The following is a 10280-nucleotide window of genomic DNA, read 5'->3' as shown; positions in this document are numbered from 1 at the left end:
TCCTTATAAATTCTGAATATTAGTCACCTGTTGGATGCATAGCTTGCAGATATTTTCTCCCATTCTGTAGGTTGTCTATTCTCTATGCTAATTATTTATTTTGCAAAACTGAGGATAACAACAATGTCTTACAGGAGTGTCGTCCAGCAAAATTCTCGTAATAAAAAATAAGTGGGAAATAACAGTGGCAGACTTTTTGGACATTTATTCACAAGCATTTATTATAAACTCCTACTATGAATCAGTCCTGTGCTAGATGTAGAAACCAGGCCAAATTATTGTGTTTTCTGCCTTTGAGTTTGAAAAGGCAGAGACCAAAGTTTTCCTTACAAGTGCTGCTGGACTCTAGGAATGAAAGACCATTCCAGCAAAGGTAATTGGTTAAGGGTGTTAGCCACTAGAAGAGGAATTTCCACTTGGCAATTAAGTTTGCAAATATGATACAGTCTTATAGAGTGTATTTCTTCAAATTGATGTGTTCTTTTTCATGTAATAATCAATTAGTGGGTGTTTCAATTGCTTAATTAGCTCTGCATGTAAATTAATCTCTGCATATTGAAAATGCAAAACTTGTCTTGTAATGTTGGATTGCTTCTGAGGTAAATCAAATGACTGTAGCCTTGGCAAAGGTTCTTGGTTTCAAGAGTCACCAAAAGCCAGCAGATTCCTTTAGCCACGTGAGTATGGGGACTTAGGGAGGATTTAGTATATGACAGTCAGTCTAATTATATTTACCCATAGAAAAGACTCCATGTCATTTCTTATTTCTGCTCTCAGGCAAAACTGCCTGTTGAATGATTAAATTCTTTGAGCCATTCAGGTCTTATGCCCTGACATTAATGAGGAATGAAAGATATGTTTCTCATTTCCCAGGCAGACATGGGAGCTGGCAGGTGAAACCCATTCCCTGCTTCATCAAGGAGGCTGGGAGGGTAAAGGAAAGGTAAATTTATAACCAGTTCTGACTCTACCACCCAAGGGAAACTCCAACTTCTTCAAGAAGCCTCCTCTGACTATGGTCAGCCACAGTATCCTCTCCCTATCTCCAAGTCCCCCTAAGATGGTCATAACCTAGCTCTTACCTGTTACATCCTATGATATGGGTTCATGGCACTGACACCCATTTGGAATCACACAGGCCTGGGTTCAAATCCAGACTCTGCTCTCTACTAGCTGTGTAACTCGCCTCACTTGTAAAATGAAAGGAATAATATTCCACCTCCTCACTCAGCCCAAGTAAGGTCCAAATGAGAACAGCATTGTAAAGAAAAAATGGTATAAAAGTGTTGGTTATTTTGTGTTCCATGTTATTTTCTTGTACCCTTCAAAAGCAGGGGCTGAGTTGCTGCTTTTCCCCTCCTGAGTCCCCCCTCCCCATGCTTAGCCCAGGACTAGTTTATAGCACAGCCGAGTGCTCAGCAGAGCACAGGAAGACAGGACACTCAGCCTTGGCCAGCCTGCCTTGGAATTTTGTTGTGTGGCCCCTGAACTCCCTCTCAGTTTGGTTTCCTGTAGTTTATTTTGAGAAATTTGGGACAAATACAATCCTATCTCTGGAGCCTCAGATGCTTGAAGCTGCGTAGACAGGGCTGCTCACATTAATCAGATCCTACTTACTTGTATCATCACCCTTTACACATGGCCAATGAAAACCTTCCCAATATGACTCAGCCAGGAGAAAATCCACCTTTAGGTCAGAACTATCATATTGACCTCCTTTTAGGGCCCAGTCTCCAGAGGCATGGTCACAAAGGCCTCTAATGACTCTGGAGAGCCTCTAGGACCTCATTATGAAGCTGCAGTGACCAGTGATCCCAGATGGACATCCTCCAAGGCTAACTGCTGGAACTCTGTCCAAGCTGCCATGGATTAAAATTTGGGGGAGGAGTCTGACACCCCAGTGGGAAGGAGCACTCCCTAAGGAAGGGACCCCCTTCTGGCCCAGAACACTCAACACAACACTGAGCACATAGAAAGTGCTCAGTAAAAACTTACAAGAATGGGGTAGGGGTGGGGAGAATAAACACATAAAGCAAAAAGCAAACCCATGAATGTGTAAAAATAAAGGAATTAATGAGCAAATGAATGAATAAATATAAATAAAAGTGAATGAGAGAATGAAGAAAGGAATGGCTTTGAAAGATCAAAGCAAAGAATGAAGAACTCAGCCTTCCTGCTCCCACCTCTTTCTCTATACAAATCTTTCTTCTAAAATCGGACAGCTTTGGGAGCCATGCAAGAATGAGAGCATTTTTGGTTACATCTAGGAATCCTTCGCATCCTTAGGACCCAGGATGTGTTTTCAAGTCATTGAGAAATGCATTTTCCACTTCTTTGTCTGCTATCTGGGAACACAGAGTGTTTCTACAGACAAGCATTACCTGTGTCTAGAATCTTCATTCAGAAGCATGCAACCCTCATCTGCCTGCATCACGGGGCGAGCAGAACTTCCTCAAGGGACCGCAAGTTCCATAAACAAACACTCAGAGCTTCCATGAACACTTTGATGACTCAGAGTGGCATTTATTTGGGGCAGGTAACTGAGGGCTGAAGCTTTTCACATGAAGGGCAGGGAGAATAAACACCTTCCCTTCCTAATGCCAATTCCTCTTCCCTCATTTTTAGAATGGAGGTCTCCCTGTTTCTGTGTTCCCCATGCCTGGTGTTTATACCTAATTTCTTAAGAGACTGTGCTTAACACATGGTGAAGACTTGGTCCAACTTAGGTGAAGTGTTGGTGGAAGGATCCAGCCAGGACAGCACAAAGCAGCCCACCACATAGCGCTGCACAGCTAAACTCAGAGTTTTCTGGAGAAACCATAAACAATTAAAATTGTTTGCTTTAATCTCCCTATCTGTCCTGCTCAAGGACAGAATGCATAGCCTGGCCTCTGTTCTAGCTGCTAACTAATCAGTTTACCCCTCCCCAGTGACATAGACACAGACACACACACACATAAACCTGCCAAAAGCAAACAAGATTCACTATTCCCAGATTCTCTGCTGGTTTTCCCCCCTCTCTCCTCTCTCCCCTTTCTCTTATAAATCCTTTTTTTTTTTTTTTGGCTACAGTCCCCTATTTTCCCTCAGTAGGATGGGAAGGAAACATAGGATGTTTTGCCTGAGCCTGAGGGATGGTTCCTGGAATGCTAGATTTTCACAGGCCCAGGCAAACCAGGACAAGTTGGTCATCTTATCACTCACATGTGAGAAAATCTGTATGCAAAAAAACAGCTGTCTCTAAATCACTGCTTGAAACTATTTAACATATGATATACTTAAAACACTTGTGGAAACATAGTGAATGTTCAACAAATGTTAGTTACTGTTAGTATTTTTGTTGTTGTAATATTCTGGTTGTTCAAGTCCAATGTCACTCCCACCCCAGAGGTATTCCTTCCATCTTCCCCATGCACACAACTCAGCAAAGTGCCTCCCCAGATTGTTTGTGATAGGTCAAATTGCATCATTTTAATTCAACAAAATTCACTGGATCCCAACCCTGTCCCAAACACTGGGCTGGACAGATATTTAACAGTAAGCTGCAAATGGACTTGCTCTGTTGGCATAAGATTTACAGCAGCTGTCCCCAACCTTTTTGGCACCAGAGACCAGTTTCATGGAAGACAATTTTTCCAAGGACCAGGTGTAGCGGGGTGGTTATGGGATGAAACTGTTCCACCTCAGATCATCAGTCATTGGATTCTCATCAGGAGCACACAACCTAGATCCCTGGCATGTACAGTATGGGAAAACTTACACAATAGGGTTGTCATTCTTGAGAGTCTAATGCTGCCACTGATCTGACAGGATGTGGATCTCAGGCAGTAATCGGCCCGGGGGTTGAGGACCCTTGGTTTACAGTTTAGTATGGAAGACATTGAGTAGATAGACTCCCAAGTTAATATATAGTAATATATTGGAGTGAGGGCTAAGAAGGAGATACATAGGGTGCTAATGTGAAAGCCTAACAGGGTAGACCTCATTTGGTTGGAAAGTCAGACAAGGCCTTGCTGAGGAAGTTGCATCTAAACTAAGACTAAAAGAGTAGTGAGAGGTAGGTAAGTGATGAAAGGTAAGTGATTCACTTTGCAAGATAAAAGCAGCCCTGCAAATTTTGACTGTTCCTCAAGTGTTTCAAAGTAATGAGCCAGAAAGTCTAGTTATTTAAGCAAAGCCAATGGTGAAAGCTGTAAAGTTGAAGAATTTCATGTAGCATAAATGATGATCCCATATTCAGCTGTTGTGCAAAGGTTATCCTACACTCACATGCCACAATTTGAACACCAGCAATTCATAAAAATCTAGTTTTAGGGCCAGGCACAGTAGCTTACACCTGTGATTCCAACACTTTGGGGGGCCGAGGCCAGAGAATAGCTTGAGACTAGGAGTTTGAGGCCAGCCTAGGCAACATAGTGAGACTCCTGTCTCTAAAAAACATTTAAAAATTATCTGGGCATAGTGGTGCACACCTGCAGTCCCAGCTACTCAGGGGGCTGAGGTGGGAGGATCACTTGAGCCCAAGAGTTTGAGGCTGCAGTGAGCTATGATTGTGCCACTTCACTCTACCTTGGGTGACACAGCAAGACCCTGTCTCTGAAAAGAAAATCTAGTTTTGTACAAGTGCTGGATTCTGAAGGGGGTGGTCTTGACTTTAGAAAGTATTCTCCGCCTTTCTTGGAGGCATCCTGTGGACCATAGAGCCATGTGGGGTAGAGGAAAGGGTTTGAAAATCAGGGGCAGAGGCTCTGGGGTCAAGATCTCATTTTGCTCCCTCCTAACAATGTGCCCTCGTGCTGATCATTTATTGCCCTCTGGGCTTCACCTTCTCTCTCTTTAAATGGGTACCTTTCCCCCATGCCAGCTGCTTTGCAGGGCTTTTATGAGGAACAGATGAGTAAAGCCCTGGGAAAATGTTAGCTGTCAGCATCTATCTCTCTCTCCAAATTGTGAGCTACTTCAGGACAGAAACTATATGTACCTCAAACAACTCAGACAATGCAAGAGATTGGGGGATGTCTAAGAAGTGGTTGAATGGAAGCAAGTGGTATTAAGAGGCAGAATGATCACACAAGTTCTAGATTCAGAGAAGCCTAGGCTTGAATCCACACCCTGCCTCTTTCTGTCTGTGACTGAAATCTTTCAGCTAGTGACTGAAATCTCTGCCTCTGTTTTCCCAGGAATTAGATGGAATATTAATGCCCACTTTTCAAAGCTGAGTTAAAGAATAAAGACAGTGAAATAAAGGAGATAGCATAGTGTTCGGATACTACTCTTAACTCTAAAGCCATAACTCTTTTTTTTTTTTGTTTTTTTCTGGTTGTTTGTTGTGTTGTTGTTGTCGTTTGTTTGTTTGTTTTTTGAGACAGAGTCTTGTTCTGTTGCCCAGGCTGGGGTGCAATGGTGCGATCTCAGCTCACTGTAACCTCCGCCTCCTGGATTCAAGCAATTCTCCTGCCTCAACCTCCTGAGTAGGTGGGATTACCGGCACATGCCACCATGCCAGACTAATTTTTGTATTTTTCATAAAGACAGGGTTTTACCATGTTGGTCAGGCTGGTCTCGAACTCCTGACCTCGTGATTTGCCCGCCTCGGCCTCCCAAAGTGCTGGGATTACAGGCATGAGCCACCGTGCCCAGTCTTTTGTTTGTTTGTTTGTTTTTTGAGATGGAGTCTCACTCTCTCACCCAGGCTGGAGTGCAGGGTGTGATCTCAGCTCACTGCAACCTCCGCCTCCTGGGTTCAAGCAATTCTCCTGCCTCAGCCTCCACCACACCTGGCTAATTTTTGTATTTTTAGTAGAGATGGGGTTTCATCATGTTGAATAGGCTGGTCTTGAACTCCTGACCTCAAGTGATTCACCTGCTTCAGCCTCCCAAAGTGCTGGGATTACAGGTGTGAGCTACCGCACCTGGCCTCAAACCACAAGACTTAAAATAACCCAAGCTCTTTCCTGCCTAAGAGTCTTTGCACATGCTATTCCCTTTGTCTGGAATGCTGTTCCTCCAGCTTTTTATATGGCTGGTCCTACTTATCCACCAATCCTCACCTTCAATGTTATGCCCTCAGTGAGGCCTTTCCTGGCTGACCCATTCAAATGGGGTTTCCTCTGCAAATAAATCTCTATCAGAAAACTCCATTTGATACCTACATTAGTAATCTATTCCTCTGTAGAAAAAAAATACCTTAAAATATAATAGCTTGAAAATAAATACTTATTATCTTGCAGTTTCTGTGGGTCAGGGATTCAGCCTCAGCTTAACTGAGTTTTCTGCCTCAGGCTGGCTCACAGACTGGAAGCAAGGCATTGACTGAGGCTGTGGTCATCTCAAAGCTCAAATGAGGAAGGACCCACTTCCAAGCTCATCCTCGATGCTGCTGATAGACCTGGGGTCCTTGCTGGCCATTGGCTGCAGACATCAGCTTCTTGTCACATGGAACTTTCATAGGGATATGCACATGTGGCCGCTGGCTTCCATCAGAGGGAGGTCTGAGAGAGAGAGAGAGATTGGTGACAAGCAAAACAGAAGTCACACTTTTTATGACTACCAGAAGGCAAAATCACTGGGGACCATCTTAGAGGGTGCCCACCAGGGTAACCTTTGTAACACTTTTCCCAGTCCATGATCTCCCATCTCTGTCTTCCACTTCTTGATGGTTTGACAACTTCTACAAGGCGTTAAGCTCCAAGAGGGCAGAGACCATGTAACAGACCAATAGTAGGAGTTTAATAAATGTTGAATAAACAAAGAAAGGAGGTTCACACATGTCAGGCACTGTGCCATAGGCTAGCGGAGAGCAAGCCCCAGGCCCTGCCAGTGCATGGGTTAGAGGCCCAGCAAGTTATGTCTTCACTGTTCTGTTTGGTTTGTTTTAACCTCATGAGGGACCACGACTCTTGCCTTGCAAAATGACTGAGAAATTTCCCAATTTCTGCATAAAGATTTGTTTTGCCTTCTGGATCCCTGTCATAATTTCTGATATTATGCCAGCTTATCCCTCTGTGTGGGGAGGGCCGGGTGGGGCAGGAGGGGAGACACCGACAGACAGTGGAAAGAGAAAAGTTCTGCAGGGCACAGTAATCCTCTGAACAGCTTTGACGAGGCGGCCAGCGAGGGGCCTGAGAGCTAAGTGTCTGCTGCCCACTGCCCTGCTTGACGGATTGTTTGCCAAAGAGCCTGGCCAGCGGGAGCTTTGACCTTGGAGGGAGAGTGATCTGTCTTCATGGAAACACACTGTCATAAGCACATGTCTCAATTTCGCTTGGGAAGGCCCCGAGGCTGCGCGAGAAGACAGCCTTGGACGTGGTTAAGGAGGAAAAATGTGTGGCCCATACGGGGGCATAGAAGCAGCTAAAATTAACCCAGAGTGGCCCTGGAGGGCATGCAAGAAATCAGTGCATTTCCCTCCAGTTCTGGTGAGTCCTCAGTGAGGCCAGCAGCACAGCCACTCCTTCCTTGGGGAACCAAAGTGTCCCTCGCCTCCCACGTGGCCAGTCTCTCCATTTGTCACCAAGGACAAAGTTGGGGGATGGATCTCTGGAAACAGTACCTTTGACATCTAAGTCCCTCACAGAAACAAAAAACCATACCCTGGTGTCTGTATCATCCCGAAGGTCAAGGAAGTGATGCCCTAGGGGACAGGGTGGGTGATAAATCTGGTGTCTGCACAGTCACCTCTCTGAGGACCCAGCTGAGCCTTTCACCTCTGTCTATGCTGACAGCTCCGGGGGAGATTTATCTGCCAGGATCCGGGCCTGCTGCAGAACCAGCAAACTCATGAATCTGGAGGAGCAGCATTGACTGAAGCCCGAGGTGTGCTTACTAAAGAAGAGAAAGGGACAGGAAGAAGAGCTCAGAGCTCCTGCCAGGCCCCGGTTTTGAGTGACACAGGATCGGGGTATTATGGGATGGCTGGGCCTGGCTATTTTGGGATGAATTGGACAAATAGATAATGTTCGTGGGGAGAAAATAAAAGTCAGGGGTGCTCTGAGAAGCTGATCATGGGCAAATAATAAAGAGACATTCACTAGGGAGGGGAGAGGCTGGTGAGGGGTTTCTGAAGGACTGGCCAGAGGTTCACAGCCCACAGGCAAACAAAAAGGCTGTGCTGACCAATGATACAAAATCCCCCGCTATGCCTGGGGGCACTGGTGGGGGACAGGGGGACAAGGCCCAGTAAAGAGAACAAGCCTCCATCCTTCTGAGATGGGGCCAGGGCCAACCTGTCTAGAGGCAAGGGGCTGGACAAGATGACCTCCAGGGAGATTCTCCTAGGATAGCTGGATTTATCTCCTAATATTTTTTTGAGGTTGTTGTCTTTTCTTGTCTTCTGTACATGTTTGATTGCTTGCCAGAGCCATTTTTGGGCACTATATGTTAGAAGACTAAAGATCCAGTCCTGAGTTTTTAAAAGGATGATGTTTTTTGTGTTTATGTCCTTTTATTTCCACATTCCATGAGGTGGGTGCAGACATGGTAACCCACAAGCTCAGCCTCAACACAAGCCAATCGCTCAGCTCTTACCCCAGCCAGAGACATCATGGGGCTCAAAGCAGCTCCACAAAGGGGTCCCCGCCCTAGAGGCCTAATTGAGCCTAAGAAAGTAGAGTCCCATGACTAATTCATCAGGATTTGTTCAGGGATGCAAAGGAGTGTTGAGAACATCCCAAAACATTCACTCAATGTGAACAGCATAACACACAATCACCAAGTGTGACCGAGAGGTTTTCTCAATAGCTGACAATCACCGAACATCATCCATTGTCACCATTAGAATCCAGGCACCATCCAACTGGCTCACAGGAGCTTTCCCAAGTGCAGATATATGCTCTGCACCACATCTGTCCTCAACGTGATTTTACCCCCTTCCCTGGGGTGATATTGATCTGGCCACACTACTGCATCCTGGAAAATAATTTTTATTCTTTGGCTAGAGGTGTTCTTATCTTCTATAAAGGTTGAAGGTTAGAGTAATTGAAGCTCTGTGAACAATGGTTAACTAGCTATTAATATTTCAAAAGGAAATACCACTTTGAAGACAAACACCTCAAGGGGTAATGTCATGTAAACTCCACTTATATTTATGGCAAGACCCACCAATTTCTTCTTCTGCCTTTCTTTTGACATCAGAAAATGGTGTACACTGGTTAATCAGTTTCCAAATTCATAAAGTTTCATACATTGCCAATGTTCAAAGAATTGAAAAAAAATAAAATACACTGACTTTCAAGTTTCAGCACCAGATAATTGTTACTCTGTGGGCTTGGGTTAGCCAGATCTTCTGATATTACAGGAGAAATCGTACTTCTGGATATTGATGTGATATTCCCAATTTTAAAATGTAGACAACTAAAATTGGCGTTCTGCATCACCTTGGAGGTGATGTGATCACCACGAGGAAACAAAACATGACTGAGTGTGAGATTCAGCCCACTGGAAAGTCAGTTAGACCTGATTTGGCACCCCAGAATTTCCGAATGATTCATTGTAATTTTTGCTTTCTGATTGCTTGGATTGTGAACTTGATTTTTTTTTTTTTACATTAATGGCCACAAAGAGATGGCAGAAGGGAGAGATGGGAAAGGTTGAAAAGAAAGCAGCATAACTGTAGGAAAATCCCTTCTCCCCCTTATAAAAGCATTTTGATGAGCCTTAGATGGCATTCGCAGTGTGAAGGTTCAGTGGCAGGTAGATTGAGAGAGAGGAGCAGGGAGAAAAATGGTGATTTTCCGGGCTGGGCCAGGGCTGCGTGGTCCCCCCAGAGACCCTCTGTGAAATGGCAGTTGTTTGTTCTGCAGAGGTTCCTCTTCCACTGGCTGGCTATGAACAGTCACTGACCTGCTGAAGTAAGGGTCCTTAGGTCACTCTAATCTATGTACTACACACCGATCAATAACTTGGGAGTTACAACCCCCACCCGTAAACATGTAACTCAATCAGCACTGGGAAGGTGGGGGCAAAATTTATCCCCGAAAGCCTGGTGTGAACAGCAGAAAATGTGGGTGATTTCATTATCTGGGATTGCTTTGTCATATTTCTGCTGAACCAAAGGATAACTGAAATGAACATTAATAATTCAGCACCCTGGCCAGGGCTGCAGGAGCTCTGGGCTCTGCCCCTCCCATCCCTGGGCTCCTCCTGGGTTTGGATGCAGAAACAGCCTGGACCCCTGTGGCAATGGGGAGCCCCAGAGGCAAGGTCTGTGTCATTCCCCAAAGCCACTCGAACCTGAAGGATATGCTGACCCCCAAAGAAGGCTGACTCCTTGTGGAGCAGCA

The sequence above is a fragment of the Homo sapiens genome, chromosome 16, assembly GCF_000001405.40.
Source record: "Homo sapiens chromosome 16, GRCh38.p14 Primary Assembly".
In the NCBI taxonomy this organism is placed as follows: domain Eukaryota; kingdom Metazoa; phylum Chordata; class Mammalia; order Primates; family Hominidae; genus Homo; species Homo sapiens.
This window is presented reverse-complemented; position numbering follows the sequence as displayed.